This window comes from Homo sapiens, chromosome 7 (assembly GCF_000001405.40).
Source record: "Homo sapiens chromosome 7, GRCh38.p14 Primary Assembly".
Taxonomy (NCBI): Eukaryota; Metazoa; Chordata; class Mammalia; order Primates; family Hominidae; genus Homo; species Homo sapiens.
In genome coordinates, this window is record NC_000007.14 from 92372015 (window position 1) to 92396314 (window position 24300).

At 36.2% G+C, this 24300-nt stretch overlaps 1 protein-coding gene across 1 annotated transcript in view; it reads left to right on the forward strand.

Annotated features, from left to right (window-relative positions):
* The window catches only part of ANKIB1 (ankyrin repeat and IBR domain containing 1), a 155410-nt gene that overhangs the window by 126041 nt on the left and 5069 nt on the right, over window positions 1–24300 (forward strand). Inside the window, exons 12-17 of the mRNA NM_019004.2 lie at window positions 14495–14629; window positions 15784–15870; window positions 15961–16027; window positions 17957–18102; window positions 19152–19330; window positions 20227–20278. Of these exons, the coding sequence (NP_061877.1) occupies window positions 14495–14629; window positions 15784–15870; window positions 15961–16027; window positions 17957–18102; window positions 19152–19330; window positions 20227–20278 (666 nt within the window). The remainder of the gene's footprint in view (window positions 1–14494; window positions 14630–15783; window positions 15871–15960; window positions 16028–17956; window positions 18103–19151; window positions 19331–20226; window positions 20279–24300) is intronic.

Genomic DNA, 24300 nt, shown 5'->3' on the forward strand with positions numbered 1-24300 from the left:
CAAATGATTAACAAAGTGCTGCCTTATATAGATCTTTTGCAAAGCTGGTTTTGGAGCGTACGGCTTAGACTCAAGGCCCAAACTAGGCCCAAATCCAGTCCATATACTGTCTCCATACAATTGGCTCTCTGTATCCATGGGTTTCATAGTGTTGGGTTCTGCATTCATGGATTCAGCCAACCACAGATCAAAAATACTTAGGGAAAAAAATTGCATCTGTATCGAACATGTACAGATTTTTTTTTGTAATTATTCCCTAAACAATGCAGTATAACAACTATTTACATAGCATGTACATTGTAAGATACTATAAGTAATCTAGAGATTATGTAAAGTATACTAGAGGATGTGCATAGGTTAGTATGCAAATAATACACCATTTTTTGTCGGGGACTTGATTATTCTCAGATTTTGGTGTTTGCAGGAGGTCTTGGAACCAATCCTCCATGGATACCAGGGAACACCTATATATAGATGTCTGTATAATACAAGAACCCAAAGCAGTGGCCAGACTTTAGGTCTGCTAATAAAACCTTCAATTAAATAAGTAACTGTTTATTATATTGAAAATGAAAATGCCAACCAAGATTCACTTGGCTGAAAAATACTTAATATAAATGATTAATGTTAGAGGTCAAAAAGGCTAGATAGAATAAATACCCTCTTTACTTACTTGTACAGGAAGAAACAGCAGTGTGTTTAAAACAAATATGCTGGTATGTTATTAATAACATTTTATTAATCCCTACCTACCTACATTTATGAACCTTTTTTGGTTTAAAATTATAATGATATTCTGATTTTTTTTGCTTTATCATTAGAAATGTCATCTATGTATAAAATGATTATTTAAAGTTATTGAGAGGAAAGTGTATTTTTTTTTCTAGTTTAGGACATGAAGGAAATTTAAATGGTTAAGATTCCAGTAAAATATAATAATATCTTCTAGGTATTACTTGATTTTTAACTTTGAGGCTTAATGATTATTACTATACTTGCAAAAGAATGGCAGTTACAAAATAATTTTTATAAGTCTGTATTACTGTAAAATTAATATAAATGAATTGGCTTAGTGAGGCAGTAATAATGATTCTCTAAGAGGCAGAAAGAAAAACCTAGGGCAGTGTTGTGAGCAAAATATTCAAAAGTGTTATTTATTGTTCAGCTAAGGATCCAGCCAAAATTATTTCATCTATTTGTGATCTTATCTCCAATGTCCATATCTTTTTTATTCCTCTTGGAAAATCTGATATAGACTACATAGATGTATAAAGAACTATCAAATGACAATAAAAATTTATAGTTGGCTGCTGAGACAGACTCCAATATTATCTTTATTTCCTGCATAACACCTACTGGTAGTAAATACTTGATAAATATGTATTGCATTCATGAATGTTTTCATGAATTAATCTGGCTGCTAATATAAGGTAATCCAACTTAAACAGACTTTGCTTAAGCTTCTGTTGCATTGAAAAGAAACATTTACTTATAAGCTATGTAAATGTAGTAGTTGTATTTATTATACCATCTGAAGTGTTTGCATTGAACAATAAAAGCTGACAAGTAGCATTCTTACTGTGACACAGAAGACTTATGTAAAAGTATCACATTACTGCAGCAAAATCATATATACTATATTTTAAATGTGTAGGTGTAACAACATGGTCATGTGTAATTGAATCCATGCACTGACATAATTGGTAAATCGTAACATACCTTTACTAATGCCTCAGCATTGATTATGTATGATTCAGTAGGCAGTTTTTACTTTTGAACTCAAATGTGTTTTTAAAGAATGAGAAATTTCTTCCCCTAAAAATAAGCTTGTTTATTTTAAAAACACTTTTTAAAATTTCCCTTTAGATAATTTAAATTGTGCATTCTTAAATATTTTAAATCATGTATAGTATCTGATTCTGTATAACTGTATGCTATAACGTTTTTTCCATTATAAAATGTAGAAGATTTAAATGCCATAATTACTAAGGTATATCTGTTCATTATATATTCAAACTGCATACTGAAACTGTGGACTGTGCCATCTTTTTAAGTACTCATGGAGCACTCACAAAAAAATTAACCATTGATTATAAAAGAAAAACCCCAATAACATTCCAAAAAATAGAAAATAGTACAAATAATATTCTCCGATCATAAGGGAGTAAAATAGAGATTAAGGCCAGGCATGGTGGCTCACGCCTGTAATCCCAGCACTTTGGGAGGCTGAGGCAGGCAGATCACCTGAGGACAGGAGTTTGAGACCATCCTGGCCAACATAGTGAAGCCTCATCTCTACTAAAAATACAAAAAATTGTCTGGGTATGGTGACGGGCACCTGTAATCCCAGCTACTAGGGAGGCTAAGGTAGGAGTGTCACTTGAACCTGGGAGGCGGAGGTTGCAGTGAGCTGAGATTGTGCCATTGCACTCCAGCGTGGGCAACAAGAGCAAAACTCCATATCAAAAAAAGAAAGAAAGAAATTAATAGTAAAGTTACAAGATGTCTTTTAGAAATTTTAAATAGCAACTCTTGAGTAAAAAAGGAAATAAAAATGGACTTTCAAGAATTTTAAAACAAGGGTAATGAAAATACTACTTAACAGAACTTGAGGGCCATAGCTAAAGCAATGCTGAGAAATGTGCATCACCTTATTTAAACTAATACAGAATAAGGAATTAATTAAGGATATGACTCAAAAATTTAGAAAAAAAATAAACTTGAAGAAAACCAGGAGAAAGGTTCTGGTTTTTTTAATGCAGAAATCAGTGACTTTAAAACTGAAAACGCGACTAATAAATAAATCCAAAAAGTGATTTTAACAAAAAATAAGATAGATAAACCACTAAGCTAACATAATCAAGAAAAAAAAAATGAAGGTGAGGGAGTTCAAAGACACAATATGAAGAATAAGGGAGATACAGCCATATCTCAGAGATGCTGTGGTCCAGTTCCAGACCACTGCAGTGAAGCAGATATCACAGTCAAGTAAATCACAATTTTTTTGTTTTCCACTGCATATAAAAGTTTAACTGTAAATTCACACTGTCTGTTAAGTGTAATAGCATAATGCATTTTTTAAAGTACATACCTTAATTTAAAAATACTTTGTTACTAAAAAATGCTAACTATTATCTGAACCTTCAGTGAGTCATAGTCTATTTGCTGATGGAGAGCCTTGCCTCAGTGTTGATGCTGCTAACTGAACAGGGTGGTGGTTGCTGAAGGTTGAGTTGGCTGTGGCAGTTTCTTAAAATAAGACAACAATGAAATTTGCTGCTTCTGTTGACTGCCTTTCACAATATAATACTGTATTATAGAATTTGACCTCTGATAGAACTTTTAAAGTTAAAGTCAGTTCTCTCAAATCCTGTCACTGCTTTGTCAGCTGTTTATGTAATATTCTAGTCTTTGTTGTCATTTCAACAATGTTTACAGAGTCTTTACCAGGAGCCTATTCTGTCTCAAGAAACCAGTTTCTTTGCTTATCCGTAAGAAACAACTTCTCCCCAATTCAAGTTTTATCATGAGATTATAGCAATTCAGTCACATCTTCAGGCTGCACTTCCAGTTCTTTTGCTATTTCTACCACATCTGAGGTTATTTTTTCTACTGAAGTTTTGAACTCTTCAAAGTCATCCATGAGGATAGGAATCAACTTTTTCCAAACTCCTGTTCATGTTGATATTTTTACTTCCTCCCATGAATCACAAATGTTCTTAATTGCATCTAGAATGGTGAATCCTTTCCAGAAGATTTTCCATTTACTCTGCCTAGATCTGTCAGAGGAATCACTATCTGTGGCAGCTTTAGCCTTACAAAATACATTTCTTAAATAATAAGACTTGAAAGTCAAAATGACCGCTTAATCCATAGGCTGCAGAACGGATGTTGTGTTAGCAGACATTAAAACAACATTCATTTCCTTGTACATCTCCATCAGAGCTCTTGGATGACCATGTGCATTGCCAATGAGCAGTAATATTTTAAAAGGAATCTTTTTTTCTGAGTAATAGCTCTCAACAGTGGGCTTATAATATTCAGTAAACCATGCCATAAACAGATGGGCTGCCATCCAGGCTTCATTGATCCATGTATAGAGCACAGGCAGAGTAGATTTAGCATAGTTCTTAAACACCCTATGATTTTCAGAATGGTAAATGAGCATTGGCTTCAACTTAAAGTAACTGGCTGCATTATCCCGTAACAAGAGTCAGCCCATTCTTCGAAGCTTTGGAGCCAGACATTGACTTTTCTGTAGCTATGAAAATCCTAGATGGCACTGTCTCCTACTAGAAAGCAGTTTCATCTACATTGGAAATCTGTTGTTTAATGTAGCCACTTTCATCAATGATCTTAGCTAGATCTTCTGGATAATTTGCCACAGCTTCTACATCAGCACTTTCTGCTTTACCTTGCACTTTTTTTTTATTTTTTATTTTTTTTTTTTTTGAGACAAAGTCTCGCTCTTGTCCCCCAGGCTGGTGTGCAATGGTGGATCTCAGCTCACTGCAACCTCCGCCTCCCAGGTTCAAGCGATTCTCCTGTCTTGGTCCCCCGAGTAGCTAGGATTACAGGCGCCTGCTACCACACGTGGCTAATTTTTGTATTTTTAGTAGAGAAGGGGTTTCACCATGTTTGCTAGGCTGGTCTAGAATTCCTGACCTCAGGTAATCCACCCTCCTAGGCCTTCCAGAGTGCTAGGATTACAGGCGTGAGCCACCGTGCCCGGCCTACCTTGCACTTTTATATTATGAAGATGGCATCTTTCCTTAAACCTCATGAACCAATGTTGGCTAACTTTAAATTTTTCTTCTGCAGCTTCCTTACCTGTCTCTGTCTTCATAGAACTGAAAAGAGCTAGGGCCTTGCTCTGGATTAGGATTTGGCTTAAGGGAATTTCATGGCTCATTTGATCCTCCATCCAGACCACTCAAATTTTCAACATATCAACAATAAGCATGTTTCATTTTCTTATCATTCATGTGTTCACTGAAATAGCACTTTTACTTTCCTTCAAGAACTTTTCCTTTGCATTCCCAATTTGGCTAACTGACACAAGAAGCCTAGCTTTCAGCTTATCTTGGCTTTTCAACATGCCTTCCTTACTAAGCTTAATCATCTAGCATTTGATTTAAAGGGAGAGATGTAAGGCTCTTCCTTTCACTTGAACACTTAGAGGTCCTTATAGGGTTCTTAATTGAACTACTTTTAATATTGTTGTGTCTTAGGAAATAGGGAAGCCCAAGGAGAGGGAGACAGACAGAGACAGGAGAATGACTAGTTAGTGAGGTGGTCAGAACACATACAACATATATATATTAAGTTTGCCATCTTATATGGGCATGGTTCATGGTGTCCCCCAGATATTACAATAGTAACATCAAATATCATTGATCGTAGATCACAACAGATAAAATAATAATTTAAAAGTTTGAAACATTATGAGAATTACCAAAATGTGACACAGACGAGCAGTGAGCACATGCTGTTGGAAAAATGACCAGTAGACCTTCTTCATGGAGGGTTGCCACAAACTTCAGTTTGTTTAAAAAACAAAAACAAAATGCAAATCTGCAATGCACAATACAGCAAAGTGCAATGAAACAAGGTATGCCTGTAATCAAAAAAACAAAGCAAACTAAAATAATAAGGACTATAACTTCATTCAACTCTTCCAGATATTTTGAACTTGGATTTGAAGTGGATTGGCTTTCTAAGAAAGTATTATTTATTAAAACTGATCCTAGAAGAGATAGAGTATCCCCAAAAAAACCCATTCCCATAGAAGGGGAAAAAAGTTTTTCAAAAATCTCCCACACCTTACATTAACACTTAAAGCAATGGGCCCTGATAGTTTCACGATAGAATTTTACCAAACCTTTAAGGGGCCGGTAATTCTAATTTTATTTAAACTGTTCTTGAGAGTTAAAAAAAAAAAAACTTAAAACTTTCAAAGTATTTTTATAAAGTGAGTAGAACCTTGATATCTGCTTCACAAGATTATAAAACTTAAAAGTGTGGATTATTCTTACTTGTAAAAGTGCAGTAGTCCTAAATATTACAGGGATAAAACTCTACAGATATTAGCAAACATAATCCAGCAGAGCACATTCATGAGTAATTAACCAAGTAGAGTTTATTCCAGGAAGACAGGTTAATTTTAAGGATTGCTGATCTGGAATGCTTGGAACTGGAAGTGTTAAGGATTTCAGATTTTTTTTTCATTTGGAATATTTGCAGTATACCAATTGAGCACCCCTAATCCACAAATTCACAATCCATGTCAGTGCTGAAAAAGTTTTGGATTTTGGAGTATTTAGGATTTCTGATTTTTAGATTAGGGATGCTTCCACCTATATAAGAATGGTTCAGTATTAGGAAAGTTGATGTTGTACCTCGTGTTATTGGTATATCCAAGGGGAAAAATTACATATTTTCTATAGCTGCTGAAAAGCTATTTGACAAAAAAAAAAAAAAAAATCAACAATCATTCTTTATAAAACAGTCAAAGAAATAGAATGGATTCTTTCTTAGTATGATAAAAATAAATTGACCTCATTTCAAAAGCTAGCATATTTAATGAGGAAACTAGAGTCACTCCCACTAAATTCAAGAACAAGATGAAGATATTTTTCATCACTAGTATTATTAACATTAGATTGAAGATACCAGTCAACATAATTAGACAACAGAAAGAGATTAGTGATATAAAAATCAGAAATGAGATAAAATTATCACTTTTTGCAGATGACGTGATTGTATACCTAGAAAATTCACAAAAATCGACTGAAAAACTGCTACAAACAAAAATTCAGTTAAGTAGCAGAGTACACAATTACTATGCAGAGTAATAACCTTCGTGTGTATCAACAACAGTCAACAACCTTCATGTGTATCAACAACAATACTGAAAGGCCTCATTTATCTGGAAACAAATTTAACAAGAAATATGCAAGACTTATGGGGAAAAAATGTAAACCCACTGTAGGTCACAAAAGATGACAAACTAATTGAAAGACAATGAAGTTCTTAGAAAGATTCCATCAGAAATAGCAACAGGTTTTGTTTCGGAATCTAAGTAAACTAATTTAGGCTGGGCGCGGTGGCTCACGCCAGTAATTCCAGCACTTTGGGAGGCCGAGACAGGCAGATCACAAGGTCAGGAGATCGAGACCATCCTGGCTAACAGGGTGAAACCCCATCTCTACTAAAAATACAAAAAAATTTAGCTGGGCATGGTGGCGGGTGTCTGTAGTCCTAGCTACTCGGGAGGCTGAGGCAGGAGAATGGTGTGAACCTGGGAGGCAGAGCTTGCAGTGAGCCGAGTTACTGCCACTGCACTCCAGCCTAGGTGACAGAGCGAGACTCCATCTAAAAAAAACTAATTCAGAAGTTATACGGCGGGATTAAGGGGAAGCAAGAATAGGAAGTCTGAAAAGGAGCAGTGAAGGGGAACTAGCCTTGTCAAATAGCCATATTATGAAACCTCAGTAATTCAAACAGTGTAGTGCTGGCACATGAAACAGGATAAAAAGAAAGCCTACAATATAGACAAAGATACGTGGGAATCTAGTATATGGTAAATGTGGCATCTACAACCAGTGGAGAAACATGAGTTATTTAAATGGTATAAGGACTACTGGGCAGTTGTGTGAGAAAGAATAAAGTTGAATTCATACTGTATCCTATATAGTCAGATAAATGCCAAATGACTCAAAGATTTAAAGTTTCTTTAAAAAATAAAATAAACCAGGAGGTCTTTTCCAAGATGGCCAAATAGGAACAGCCCCAGTCTGTAGCTCCAATGATCGACACAGAAGACAGGTGATTTCTGCATTTCCAGCTGAGGTACCTGGTTCATCTCATTGGGACTGGTCGGGAAGTGGGTGCAGCACACGAAGGGCAAGCCGAAGCAGGGCAGGGCATCACCTCACCTTGGAAGCATAAAGGGTTGGGGGATTTCCCTTTCCTAGCCAAGAGAAGCCATGACAGGCTGTACCGGGAAAATCGGGACACTGCCACATAAACACTGCTCTTTTCCAACAGTCTTAGCAAATGGCAACACCAGGAGATTATATCCCACACCTGGCTCAGCAGGTCCCACACCCACAGAGCCTTGCTCACTGCTATTCCGAGATCTAACTGCGAGGCGGCAAGCCATGCTGGGGGAGGGGCATCTGCCATTGCTGAGTAGGTAAACAAAACGGCTGGGAAGCTCAAACTGGGTGGAGCCCACCACAGCTCAACAAGGCCCCCCTGCTTCTGTAGACTCCACCTCTGGGGGCAGGGCATAGCTGAACAAAAGGCCACAGAAACTTCTGCAGACTTTGATGTCCCTGTCCGACAGCTCTGAAGAGAGCAGTGGTTCTCCCAGCATGGTGTTTGAGCTCTGAGAACGGACAGACCACCTCCTCAAGTGGGTGCCTGACCCCCATGTAGCCTAACTTGGAGACACCTCCCATTAGGGGCCGACTGACACCTCATACAGCCAGGTGCCCCTCTGAGACGAAGATTCCAGAGGAAGGACCAGGCAGCAATATTTGCTGTTCTGCAATATTTGCTGTTCTGCAGCCTCCGCTGGTGACACCCAGGCAAATAGGGTCTGGAGTGGACCTCAAGCAAACTCCAACAGACCTGCAGCTGAGGGTCCTGTTAGAAGGAAAACTAACAAGCAGAAAGGAATAGTATCAACATCAACAAAAAAGGACATCCACACCAAAACCCCATCTGTAGGTCACCATCATCAAAGACCAAAGGTAGATAACACCACAAAGATGGGGAGAAGCCAGAGCAAAAAAGCTGAAAATTCTAAAAACCAGAGCGCCCCATCTCCTCCAGAGGATTGCAGCTCCTCGCCAGCAACGGAACAAAGCAGGATGGAGAATGACTTTGACAGTTGACAGAAGTAGGCTTCAGAAAGTTGGTAATAACAAACTTCTCCCAGCTGAAGGAGGAAGTTCGAACCCATCACAAGGAAGGTAAAAACCTTGAAAAAAGATTAGATGAATGGCTAACTAGAATAAACAGTGTAGAGAAGACCTTAAATGACTTGATGGAGCTGAAAACCATGGCACGAGAACTATGTGACGCATGCATAAGCTTCAAGTGGAAGAAAAGGTATCAGTGATTGAAGATCAAATTAATGAAATGACGCAAGTAGGGAAGTTGGGAGAAAAAAGAGTAAAAAGAAATGAACGAAGCCTCCAAGAAATAAGAGACTGTGTGAAAACACCAAATATACGTACAATTGGTGTACCTGAAAGTGACGGGGAGAATGGAACCAAGCTGGAAAACACTCTTCAGGATATTATCCAGGAGACCTTCCCCAACCTAGCAAGTCAAGCTAACATTCAAGTTCAGGAAACACAGAGAACACCACAAAGATACTCCTCAAGAAGAGCAACCCCAAGGCACATAATTGTCAGATTCACCAATGTTGAAATGGAGGAAAAAATGCTAAGGGCAGCCAGAGAGAAAGGTCAGGTTACCCACAAAGGAAAGCCCATCAGACTAACAGCGGATCTCTTGGCAGAAACCCTACAAGCCAGAAGAGAGTGGGGGCTAATATTCAACATTCTTAAAGAAAAGAATTTTCAACCCAGAATTTCATATCCAGCCAAACTAAGCTTCATAAGTGAAGGAGAAATGAAATCCTTTACAGACAAGCAAATGCTGACAGATTTTGTCACCACCAGACCTGCCTTATAAGAGCTCCTAAAGGAAGTACTAAACATGGAAAGGAACAACTGGTACCAGCCACTGCCAAAACATGCCAAATTGTAAAGACCATCGATGCTAGGAAGAAACTGCATCAACTAACGGGCAAAATAACCAGCTAACATCATAATGACAAGATCAAATTCACACATAACAATATTAACCTTAAATGTAAATGGGCTCAATGCTCCAATTAAAAGACACAGACTGGCAAATTGGATAAAGAGTCAAGACTTATCAATGTGCTGTATTCAGGAGACCCATCTCATGTGCAGAGACATACATAGGCTCAAAATAAAGGGATGGAGAAAGATCTACCAAGCAAATGGAAAGCAAAAAAAAAAAGCAGGGGTTGCAATCCTAGGCTCTGATAAAACAGACTAAACCAACAAAGATCAAAAGAGACAAGGCCATTACATAATGGTAAAGGGATCAATTCAACAAGAAGAGCTAACTATCCTAAATATATATGCACCCAATACAGGAGCACCCAGATTCATAAAAAAAGTCCTGAGAGACCTAAAAAGAGACTTAGCCTCCCACACAATAATAATGGGAGACTTTAACACCCCACTGTCAATATTAGACAGATAAACGAGACAGAAGGTCAACAAGGATATCCAGGACTTGAACTCAGCTCTGCACTAGGCAGACCTAATAGACATCTACAGAACTCTCTACCCCAAATCAACAGAATATACATTCTTCTCAGCACCACATCGCACTTGTTCCAAAATTGACCACGTAGTTGGAAGTAAAGCACTCCTCAGCTAATGTAAAAGAACAGAAATCACAACAAACTGTCTCTCAGACCACAGTGCAATCAAATTAGAACTCAGGATTAAGAAACCCACTCAAAACCGCACAACTACATGGAAACTGAACAACCTGCTCCTGAATGACTACTGGGTACATAATGAAATGAAGGCAGAAATAAAGATGTTCTTTGAAACCAATGAGAACAAAGACACAACATACCAGAATCTCTGGGACACATTTAAAGCAGTGTGCAGAGGGAAATTTATAGCACTAAATGCCCACAAGAGAAAGCAGGAAAGATCTAAAATTGACACCCTAACATCACAATTAAAAGAACTAGAGAAGCAAGAGCAAACACATTCAAAAGCTAGCAGAAGGCAAGAAATAACTAAGGTCAGAGCAGAACTGAAGGAGATGGAGACATAAAAACCCCTTTAAAAAAATCAATGAGTCCAGGAGCTGGTTTTTTGAAAAGATCAACAAAATTGATAGACCGCTAGCAAGACTAATAAAGAAGAAAAGAGAGAAGAATCCAATAGATGCAATAAAAAATGATAAAGGGGATATCACCACTAATCCCACAGAAATACAAACTACCATCAGAGAATAACATAAACACCTCTACTCAAATAAACTAGAAAATCTAGAAGAAATGGATAAATTCCTGGACACATACACCCTCCCAAGACTAAACCAGGAAGAAGTTGAATCTCTGAATAGACCAATAATAGGCTCTGAAATTGAGGCAATAATTAATAGCCTACCAACCAAAAAGAGTCCAGGACCAGATGGATTCACAGCCAAATTGTACCAGAGCTGCCAAGAGGAGATGGCACCATTCCTTCTGAAACTATTCCAATCAATAGAAAAAGAGGGAATCCTCCCTAACTCATTTTATGAGGCCAGCAGCATCCTCATACCAAAGCCTGGCAGAGGCACAACAAAAAAAGAGAATTTTAGACTGATATCCCTGATGAACATTGATGCAAAAATCCTCAATAAATACTGGCAAACCAAATCCAGCAGCACATCAAAAAGCTTATCCACCAAGATCAAGTTGGCTTCATCCCTGGGATGCAAGACTGGTTCAACATACACAAATCAATAAACGTAATCCATCACATAAACAGAACCAAAGACAAAAACCACATGATCATCTCAATAGATGCAGAAAAGTCCTTTGACAAAATTCAACAGCCCTTTGTGCTAAAAGCTCTCAATAGTCTAGGTATTGATGGAACAGATCTCAAAATAATAAGAGCTATTTATGACAAACCCACAGCCAGTATGATACTGAACGGGCAAAAACTGGAAGCATTCCCTTTGAAAACTGGCACAAGACAGGGATGCCCTCTCTCACCACTCCTATTCAACATAGTGTTGGAAGTTCTGGCCAGGGCAATCAGGCAAGAGAAAGAAATAGAGTATTCAATTAGGAAAAGAGGAAGTCAGATTGTCCCTGTTTGCAGATGACATGATTGTATATTTAGAAAACCCCATCATCTCAGCCCAAAATCTGCTTAAGCTGATAGGCAACTTCAGCAAAGTCTCAAGATACAAAATCAATGTGCAAAACTCACAAGCATTCTTAAACACCAATAACAGACAAACAGCCAAATCATGAGTGAACTCCCATTCACAATTGCTACAAAGAGAATAAAATACCTAGGAATCCAATTTACAAGGGATGTGAAGGACCTCTTCAAGGAGAGCTACAAACCACTGTTCAATGAAATAAAAGAGGACACAGACAAATGGAAGAACATTCCATGCTCATGGATAGGAAGAATCAATATTGTAAAAATGTCCATACTGCCCAAGGTAATTTATAAATTCAGTGCCATCCCCATCAAGCTACCAATGACTTTCTTTACAGAATTGGAAAAAACTACTTTAAAGTTCATAGGGAACCAAAAAAGATCCCACATTGCCAAGACAATCCTAAGCAAAAAGAACAAAGCTTGAGGCATCACACTACCTGACTTCAAACTATAGTACAAGGCTACAGTAACCAAAACAGCATGGTACTGGTACCAAAACAGAGATATAGACCAATGGAACAGAACAGAGGCCTCAGAAATAACACCATGCATCCACAGCCATCTGATCTTTGACAAACCTGACAAAAACAAGAAATGGGGAAAGGATTCCCTGTTTAATAAATGGTGCTGGGAAAACTGGCTACCCATATGTAGAAAGCTGAAACTGGATCCCTTCCTTACACCTTATACAAAAATTAATTCACGATGCATTAAAGACTTAACTATTAGACCTAAAACCATAAAAACCGTAGAAGAAAAGCTAGGCAATACCATTCAGGACATAGGCATGGACAAGGACTTCATGACTAAAACACCAAAAGCAATGGCAACAAAAGCCAAAATAGAAACATGGGATCTGATTAAACTAAAGAGTTTCTGCATAGCAAAAGAAACTACCATCAGAGTGAACAGGCAAACCTCAGCATGGGAGAAAATTTTTGCAATTACCCATCTGACAAGGGGCTAGTATCTAGAACCTACAAAGAACTTAAACCAATTTACAAGAAAAAAACAACCCCATCAAAAAGTGGGCAAAGGATATGAACAGACACTTTTCAAAAGGAGACATTTATGCAGCCAACAGGCATGAAAAAATGCTCATCATCACTGGCCATCAGAGAAATGCAAATCAAAACCACAATGAGATACCATCTCACACCAGTTAGAATGGCGATCATTAAAAAGTCAGGAAACAACAGGTTGCTGGAGAGGATGTGGAAAAATAGGAACGCTTTTACACTGTTAGTGGGAGTGTAAACTAGTTCAACCATTATGGAAGACAGTGTGGCGATTTCTCAAGTATCTAGAACTAGAAATACCATTTGATCCAGCGATCCCATTACTGGGTATATACCCAAAGGATTATAAATCATGCTACTGTAAAGACACATGCACATATATGTTTATTGCAGCACTATTCACAATAGCAAAAACTTGGAACCAACCCAAATGTCCATCAATGATAGACTGGATTAAGAAAATGTGGTACATATACACCATGGAATACTATGTAGCCATAAAAAAAGATGAGTTCATGTCCTTTGTAGCCACATGGATGAAGCTGGAAACCATTATTCTGAGCAAACTATCACAAGGACAGAAAAACGAACACCACATGTTTTCACTCATAGGTGGGAATTGAACAATGAGAACACTTGGACACAGGGCAGGGAACATCACATACTGGGGCCTGTCGTGGTGTGGGAGGATGGGGGAAGGATAGCATTAGGAGAAATACCTAATGTAAATGACAAGTTAGTGGGTGCAGCAAACCAACACGGGACATGTATACATATGTGACAAGCCTGCACCTTGTGCACATGTACCCTAGAACTTAATGTATAATAAAAATAAAATAAAAAATAAATAAACCATTAAGAGTACCTGAAGACAACATAGAATGGGAAGATCTTTTTAACTGACTCAAAATCCTAAGCATAAGAAAGGATGTATTTTCATACTGAATGCTCATATTTTTGGCACTGTCTGATAATTATGGTAATTAAGTTGGAATTTACATTAAAATGGGAAACCGTTTTTATATCAGCTGTTCCACTTAGAGGTCTTTTAAGCGTAGTTCTAGTTTCAAAACCAATTTGTCAATATTGCCAGAAGTTTTTCAGATAGACTGGTGGAGCTTTATATACAAATGTCAGATTAGAATGCACTTAAAAATGAAACACTTTCCAAAGATATTATTTGGAAAGAATGGTTCCTTGTGATTACTTCATAATATTATGCTTTACATTTTAATATATCCCTATAAACAATAATTTTAAACTACCCCCACATCTTTCCATAATGCAGATAAGGTCTCCAGAGGACACATGAGAAATAGGGCATGTCTTTGAGAAGATTTATTACTGGTCACACAAGCACAATTATTTAATCTTTACAGATTGGTTGGCTATAAAGCAGAAAATAATTTGCATATTAATATGGGGAGATGTTTTCATCTGTGTTTTCTTTTGAAGTGCAAGTATGACTTTTGCTGGATTTGCCTTGAAGAGTGGAAAAAACATAGTTCGTCCACTGGAGGTTATTACAGATGTACTCGCTATGAAGTCATTCAACACGTGGAGGAGCAATCCAAGGAAATGACTGTGGAGGTAAAGAGAACCAATTAAGCCAAGACATCTCTCTAAACCGCTCACTGCCACTGGAATTATTTTGTATTTCTTTTTCTATTTTCATCTTAATAAAGTATTAAATTGAATATACTTTATTATAGCCTTTAATTTCAACAAAACAGCTCTGTAAACTTGAGAGCTTTTTCCCTTTTACATTTTCCTTTTTTTAATTTTGGTGGAGATCTGTATGAAAAGTCTGATATATCCCAGCCTACCTCTGTAAATACTTAAAAACAATTTTAACATTAATATCAACAATGCAGTATTACATTATACTGTACAGGAAGTGTCTTAGTCTGCTCAGCTGCCATAGAAAATACATAGACTGGGTGGCTTACCAGAAATTTATTTTTCACAGTTGTAGAGGTTGTGAAGTCCAAAGTCAAGGTGCTGGCCAATTTGGTTCTTGATGAGGGTTCTCTTGGTTTGCAGACAGCCACCCTCTCACTATGTCCTTAGGTGGCCAGAAAAGACAGAGAGACCTCTGGTGCCCCTTCCTCTTCTTTTAAGAGTACCAACCCTATCAGAATAGGGCCCCACCCTGATGACCTTATTTAACCTTTATCACCTTCTCACAGGTCCTGTCTTCAAATACAGTCACATAGAGGGTAGGGCTTCAAAATATTAATTTTAGGGGGAATACCATTAGTCCATAGCAAAAAGCCATGTAATAAAACATTGAAGGCCTTGGCCTTCAATGTGGCTCATGCTTTTAATCCCAGCACTTTTGGGAGGCCGAGGCAGGCAGATCACTTGAGGTCAGGAGTTCAAGACCAGCCTGGCCAACATGGTAAAACCCCATCTCTACTAAAAATACAAAAATTACCCAGGCATGGTGGTGGGCTCCTGTAATCCCAGCTACTCAGGAGGCTGAGACAGGAAAATCAGTTGAACCTGGGAGGCGGAGGTTTGTGTGAGCTCAGATTGCACCACTGCACTCCAGCCTGGGAGACACAGCGAGACTCCGTCTCAAAAAAAAAAAAACAAGTATTGTTTTTCTGTCAAGAAAATAATTCGCAAATCTGAATGCACTACTACCTATCACTAATAAAACTTTTAAATGATTCCCCCAAAAAACTATTTTAGTAGCTACTAGTTTTTATAAAAGTCATTTGTGGACTTTTGTTTTCTAGGCTGAGAAAAAACACAAACGATTTCAGGAACTTGACAGATTTATGCACTATTATACAAGATTTAAAAACCATGAGCATAGTTATCAGGTATGTCCCAAATCATTTCAAATGAGCTGACCTATACTGTTGTGAATAAATAAAGAGAATGGTTTAAATTCTTTATTTCTATTCCTTTAGCTAGAACAACGCCTTCTTAAAACAGCCAAAGAAAAGATGGAGCAATTGAGCAGAGCTCTCAAAGAAAGTAAGTTATAAGTTGTATGTGTGATAATTAATATAAAATATCTTTCCATGCTTGTCATTTCACTAGTAGGTTAGGCCCTGAAAGGAATACATTATGTTCATTAGCTTGTTCTGGTACTGTTTTGAGTTCTTTGAAGCCCTGAGTGCAGCTTAGCAGATGAGGCCTCTGTGATTGGATTTTCTACCCAGCACCTAGCCTCCTCCTCTTGATGCAGCCTGTGGTGTTATGAGATAAAAACACTTCATGATTTTGCTTACTCTGTGTCACTGCTGATGCTCTACAATGTTGGGAAAAGTGGATGGGTACTAAAGGACATCACTGACTTAGTCAGAGGAGCAAGATACACGTGCTACCCAATTGTCATGTAACTGAATACCCAAAAATTATTGAGAAAATTTAACAGAGTGCCTAAGGGCGTGGAAGTCAATAACAGTTTGGGAAGAAATCATTTCACTGGTAAATAATGAACATTGGGGTCAAAAAGCGAAGCCATGAGGTGGAGCTAACGTATAGGTCCTAAATTATAAGTTAGAATATTCCAAAATATGGATTGAGTATTGACAACATCATTAGAATATAATAACCCACAACGACCACACAGAGTGCAGGTTCTGGTATGTTTGTTTTAAAAAGTCACCTTTTAAAAATAATAGCTCACATATGAAAAGTACATTTTAAGGTGAAAAATGTGATGTTATACTTGGGTTGCTCCAGTTTATCAAAATAATGAATATTAAAATCCTTTTCATTAGGATAATTCCCTAGTCAAGACAATACCATAAGTTAAATGGAGTGGGGGAGAATATGTCAATAGCAGTATAGCCTGCTTGTTAATTATTAGTTCTTAGACTTCATTAATGATATAACTATATTAGGCAATATCAAACTCTTGAAGTATTGTCCACAGTATAAATTGAGAGGAAAAAAGTCCTCACAAGTCGTACAGCTCTTCAGCAGGGATTTTTGTCTGGTCACTAATACATCCCTAGTGCTTCCAGCTGTGCCTGACCCTTAACAACATTCAATATTTGTAGATGTGAATTATTGCTTCTATTCAACATTCTGGAGGTTCCAGGCAGCATAATAAATTAGGGGAAAAAAACAAAAAGATACAGCAATTGCAAAGGAAGAAGCAAAACTTCACACATTTCTCACATAAGTCAGAAATCTCAGGGTCGTCTGTCAGTTTGTGTACACATACTGAATTTCTTTCTACAGGTATCCAAAATAATCTGAGTTTCTGCAGTATTTGCAAAGTTAGATTCTCATGCTTAATTTCTGGTTTTTTTCTGGTTTTGTTTTTTTTTTGGCAGTTAAGTGAAAACCTAGACTGTTATAATGATGTTCTTAAAACAAAGAGTCTCAGATATTAAGGCAATTTAGTCTTCCATCTTCCTCATTCTTCCTCCCCTTCTTTCTTTGGATTTTTTATTAACTAGGATTAGTTATCTAGTTGTTTGCCAGAATGTTGTATCTTTTTCCTTACGGTATTGGTTTTGCATAATTAGGCTCTTTTTATAAGCAACTTAGAAAAGGCATTTGTTCTCATTCTTAACCAGGGAAATTCTGCTAGGGATAATCTGAAAAAGTAAAGCCTAGAACCTTTTGGTTGACCTAAAGCTAGATTTGCTTACCAATGGAGTGAGACCAGAATCCAAGATGAGTATGTGCATTCCTTTATGACTACCATCAGTGTTCCTGGGCTGCTGGGGCATATGCTTCTTTTATAAACACATACATGTCACACATGAGTATTTTATGTAGGTTTTTAGTTTGGTTCAAATAAGTATTTTCATACAGTTACTTAAAACAGTTTTTGTCCTAATGATCCTTCTTTTTCCTTTTTTGAGAAAAAAAATCATTGTTTAATTAATATTATAAATGGCATATTTGCAAAAACAAATTCACTGTGCCTCAATTACTTTTTAGCTGAAGGAGGCTGTCCAGATACCACTTTCATTGAAGATGCAGTTCATGTGCTCTTAAAAACTCGGCGCATTCTCAAGTGTTCTTATCCATATGGATTTTTCTTGGAACCTAAAAGCACAAAGAAAGAAATTTTTGAACTAATGCAAGTAAGATTTTTTTAATTACATTTAAATGGCAGCAGTTATTATGAAATACAGAATTTTTCATTTTTGAAACCACTTGTTTTATTTAATGTGGACATGATTACTAAAACAATTTTCTTTTCATTTTTTAAATGGTTTTTAAATAAAGGAAAAGTTACCAGTAACAAATTGAAATTTTCTTTTTGTTTAAATTTGTCACTCTGCAGGTCTGAATGAGTTATGAGTGGTGCAAACATTTCCTGTAGCATTTATGTCTTTGTTTTAAACTGGTTGAAGTTTGAAATCAGGCATATTTCTGATTATATAATTAAGGATTTTATCATGAAAGATGAAAACAACCCACATTACCTATAAGATGAGAAAGTTGCTGTTTACCAGTTTATTTTTGAAATACAACTGAAAAAGTTACAGTATTTAAAAAACAAAAACACCTAAGCCAATTGGCATCACTATAGCCAAATAACTTCATTGTGCATTTCTTTTCTTTTGAAGCCACTAAACTTTCTCCTGTTACAGTTTTCATGTCATCCCTTGAACTGTCCTCTGCTAATTTATATCCTACATTTCTGTCAAGGATCAGTATTCATTTTCTCCGTAAAGCCTTCCACACTTGACCCCAATCACTGTCGTCTTGCCTTAATTCAAATTCCTTCAGCACTTTTATATAGTCTGCACTATGGCATCATGCATTTGCTTGTATGGTGCATTGAAATGTATTAGTTTTTTTCACATAGACAAATTATAAATTCCTTGTAAACAGCTGCTATACTCACTACTTCTTTGTAATCTATACCAATTTCATTTCTATAAATGCCTATCAAATGAGCGCTTTTTTAAAAATTCACATGATTTTATATACAGTCCTTTCTCTTTCATAATCTAGAAAACATGTACAAAATAGAAAATATATTACATAGGAAGTTATTTCAAAATTTTAACTAGTTTCTTACTTCAAAAGAGTTAGATTTAACTGAGAAACCACATAGACCCTGGATTTGCTATTGATTAACCTATGAAGCCTGTGATTTTTTTTTTTTCTCTGCTTACTATAGACAGACCTAGAAATGGTCACTGAAGACCTTGCCCAGAAAGTCAATAGGCCTTACCTTCGCACACCCCGCCACAAGATCATCAAAGCAGCATGCCTTGTACAGCAGAAGAGGCAAGAATTCCTGGCATCTGTGGCTCGGGGAGTAGCTCCTGCAGACTCACCAGAAGCTCCAAGGCGCAGGTAAAAAGGACGTACACTGTGGAAATCATCCTAGCTCCAGCCACAAATACCAGCAGTTTTGTTTTTTATCCAACTAGGGTTCATATTCCTGGAAATTATTTACACCTAAAATATGGATAGCTCATAAAAGTATGTTGACTTTTTTTGGTGATTTTTTTTTTCCTCCATGCTATTTCTGTTTTTCTTGTTATTTTTTGTTTATTTATCATTGTGTAGCTCCTTAGACTAAATTAACCTAGGTTAATTTCACATTTCAGGTGAACTCATAAATAAGAGTATTCTAATGTATCATTTCAAATATGTAATATATATAGTGATTTGATAGTTATAAACATCTTACGATGTAGAATTTGGAAACTTTGCCAGCTTGTTATGGTCATATTTGTATTTTTGTATTAAGAAGTTGTGAAGGAAAGAGAAATTTGATATTTGTAGTTATTTAAGTGATAAACCCATCCACTAAAGATCAGTTGAGTTGTAGTTGTTTTATTTTACATACTCATACTACTTCTGTAAATTGAAGCATACTTTCCTATTTATAATAACTATAAGCATTAAACATTCCTTTGGCACTATTTTACATAAATTCCTTTGATCCTATTTTTACATAATATTTATGAGTAAATATTTACTTGTAAAATACAAATAGAAGCATTATAAAATACTTTGTTATAACATGGTAATTTTTATTTTTTGATCATTTTACACAAACATAAAAACTTAGAATTTGGAAGAAAGGAAAATTATCATTTTAATTCTGTTTTAATAGTTGATCTACTTTAGTTAAGCAAGTTCCAACAGAGGAATTCAAAGTAATGTTCAAAGGGCAAGGATCTGATTGTATATACTTTGTAGTATTGATATTAAATCAAATGGTATGTCTAATTTCTTTGTAGCTTTGCTGGTGGAACATGGGATTGGGAATATTTAGGATTTGCATCACCAGAGGTAATTGTTTTATGGGGTTTTTGTTTTTGTATTTTTTCTTAGTGCAGTCGTGCTTGCATTTGCATCCTTATCTATTCTAAATCCTTCTGAGATTATCAGCAGTGCTGTCTCTTTCTTTTGTAACAAAAATGCCTTGACAGAGCCTACATTTAGCTATTTATGTGGTATTGCTATATCGTCACATTGTTAAATGCATTACTCTTTTATTGTTTTTAATTACTGAATAGTCAGAATTAAGGCAAATTTACAATATACATTTTTGGAAAATATCTTCTAATTTGTTAATAGAGAGAATTTATTAGAAATGCATTTCTAGTCATAATATTGTTTTAATCTGAAACTATTAAAAATATAAAAGAACAATCCATTTTTTAAGGTTAATGCAACAACCTGAGGGAACTGATTTATAATCAGTTGCTAAGGTGGAAAACTTGACTTTAATAATGTATATGCAGAAAGAAATGCTTTGCTTAGTTGCTTTCTGCTTATCTTTAAGACTTTCACACTCTTCTTGTTTTTTTGTTGTCATTATTAATATACCGTTTTGAAATACAGAAGGTCTAAATTACTAACACTACAGATAGCAGTTGTGGCAAATAAAAATAAGACAGAGTGAAACTCTTAATCACATAGCTGTTTTCTGAGATTTAAATTGCCACTGTCACTGTTGAGTCTGATTTTAAAATGGTTTCAGCAGTTCTCTCTACTTCTCTCTTTCCATCCTTGCTCTTTATTAAACAGTATTTGATGCCTATAATATGATAACCCTTCAACTTAATTTTTGGAAGGGTACAGAACAAATGAGGAAATCTTTGTTTGTAATGTATAACCCATTTGTTACCTGCAACTGAAAGACAATGAAATTGATTATTATCCAGGCATGACTGTGGCTTATTTAAATCAGATACTTTCTCTTTTCAGCTGCTGAAGATACTTGCAATCACCTGTGGCTTTTGTATTGGTAGATACATCCAAGAAAATATTGACTTGAAAAAAATTGTGCTTAGAGCCCTGATCTGGACATTTTAAATTCACTTAAATTGTTTTAAAAATTGTGATATATTAATGAAATTTTTATTTTAAAACTAATTATGAACCTTTATCTGATCCTGTATTTATTATTTCAATGTTATAATACATTTACAACTTCGGGGATATTGTGGTAAACTTCCACCTAAAAGGAAGAATAAGCAAACTGAAATTATAAAAGAAAAAAAAATACTAATGATTTCCGTGTTTTAAGGTAGAAACACAGTTTAGCAAAAATAAATAAAACCTTTGTCAGTGTATTCACAAGCATGTATGTGTATCATCTTGCAGCTTCTGGCTCTGACAGAAACTTTAGGAATCCTGAAATATTTGTCCTTGAATATTGAGGGCCTACTAATATGAGTGTCACTTTGTTTTTTATGAATTGATAATTTTTTAGAAATTACTTACTTTTAGTTTTCTTTAGTCTTTGACACATTGAAACACTAGGCTTTTACGTAAACCTTATTGCAGATATAAAGAATTACTGCACATTGTGAGACTTTCAAATTCTGCATGTGTATGACTATCGAGTAACTGCCAAAGTTATATTTTTGAAAAATAGCTCTTTGCCTTAATAGTGAGGGAAAAAACAAGGTTACCAACTCCAGTAGACTTAGATTGAACTTATATTTTTTTCAGTGAAGTTAATTTCATCTTACTCTTTTTAATGTAAATTGAGTCTGGCAAGCATAAAGGTTTGTTTTATGCTACTTTAAAGGCAGTGCAGCTCAGTGGAAATAGCATAAAGTCTGAGGAACACCTGAATTCAAGTTCTAAGTGTAACTTACTAGATCCTAGGCTATGTTCTTTCTTAATTTCTCATCTTTACAATGTGGATGGTGATACCCCATGGAAGTTCTAGAAGGATTAAAGCATCTCATTTAGCCACTGACAAAATTGTTGGAATTATTACTTAAAACAGCTCCTTATAGCTTTTCCCTCTGTAAATCCTAGAACTTTTTAGTCTTTTCTGTATCCTTAACATTCTCAAACCATTTGGAGTATACTGACTAAACCCTTTTCATATACATTCTTGAAGATCTTAGGAATCCTTGGAAATTTTCAAATAAATTTTATGAGAACAATATATTTAAGCCTGTTGCATCATGAGAGAATGCCATCTGAGAGTTTTCTGTCAGACGATTAGATATACAAGTTTCTTTTGCAGTTGCTTTTAAACGGTTTCATTTTCTTAAATTGGAAATATGTATAGTCTATGGTCAGTAATAGTTTAATTCATAACTTTGTACCATTATCAAGTTTACAAAGTAAGCAAATTATCCCTAATATAAAACTTGAATTGAGATAAAATTTTCACACCATCTTTGTCTAAGAAATCTAGTTGGTGTTCCTCACTGGTCTGTTGAGCCTTGACGACACTTAAGTCATCAGTTTGAGGTCATGGGCCTCTAGGAGAAGAGGAAATGATGTCCCACCTCAGCAAGGCATTTTAAAGAACCAGTATAAACCCTCAGGGCACTTGGAGTATCTTTCATTTATTAGTTTCTAACCTAACAGGATGCCTCCCACTTCTTAAGAGTCCAACTGCTTATATAAATAAAGGAGTTTAAATAAATGTCACCAGAGTGGTATGATGTGAAAGTTTTATTTGTGATCCAAAATTTGTCTTCACCTACTTCTAGTACTTTCACAATATAAGCATATTGAATATTCTAGGGTAACCAGGATAATCATAAAGTTGAATATCTTAGTGTTTATCATGGAAAGACACCATAATGATTCTCTAAATTAGCCTTTTTATGTTGGTATCATGTACCCTGGCCTCCTCTCTTCTCTTCCCTTCTCTTTTATTCTCTTCTCTTCTGTCACATTTATACCCAGGTAATAGCGATGGTCCCAGGTTGTACCCTCTGGTGATAACAAACTAACTTTAAACATTGTCACAAATGTGGAATAGGCTGAGGACATCTGCCTAAGTCTGTGTTCATCCCATATGCTAAATAGAAAACATTTCCCCTGCTTGTGTTGTAAATAGCACCACATATTGGCTTATATAGAAAAGAAGCTAAATAATCATCTTATTTTAAAGCTAACCTAACATTTGTCTTTTAATCTAGTCATTTGATTTGTGAATATGATATGTAGTAGTCCCAAAGAATAGAAAATCCAACAATCTGGCAAGTACTTAACAGTGTGTGTTATTTTTTACTGTTGTTCCTTTTTTTCTTTTTCTGTTACATATATCCCAGTCACTTTTTTTTTTTTTTTTTTTTTTGAGATGGAGTCTTGCTGTTGTTGCCCAGGCTGCAGTGGCACAATCTCGGATCACTGCAACCTCCACCTCCTGGGTTCAAGTGATTCTCCTGCCTCAGCCTCTCGAGTAGCTGGGATTACAGGTGCCACCACCACGCCCGGCTAATTTTTTGTATTTTTAGTAGAGATGGGGTTTCACCATGTTGGCCAGGCTGGTCTCAAATTCCTGACCTCAGGTGATCTGCCTGCTTCGGCCTCCCAAAGTACTGGGATTACAGGCGTGAGCCACAGCACCCACCCCTGGTCACGTTTTTAAAGCCACTTTCATATCCAGTTTCAATGGCTCACACCTGTAATCCCAGCTACTTAGGAGGCCGAGCAGTAGGGATTGCTTGAGGCCAGAAGTTCAAGACCAGCCTAAGCAACATAGCAAGACTCTGACTCTAAAAATAAAAAAATAAAAAATAAAAAACCTCCCTTCAAGGAAAGCCTTACTTAAATGAGTAATATGGTTGTAGTATTAATTAGATAACAAGATCCTTGAAATCATCAGGCATATAAAATAGGGCTGTTCTAATGTAGCACTGGGGCTTGCAAGTATTCCTAATTTATCTAGGCAATTGTAATGACTGTTGAAAACTTTCTTTTTCCATTTTACCTTTTGTGTTTCCTTGGCATGGCAAAACCTGATGTTTCAGCCAAGTGATTTTATAAGATGTGTATAAAATCACAAACTTTTTCCCCTGGAAAAAAGTGTGTACTTTGTTTTATTTGCA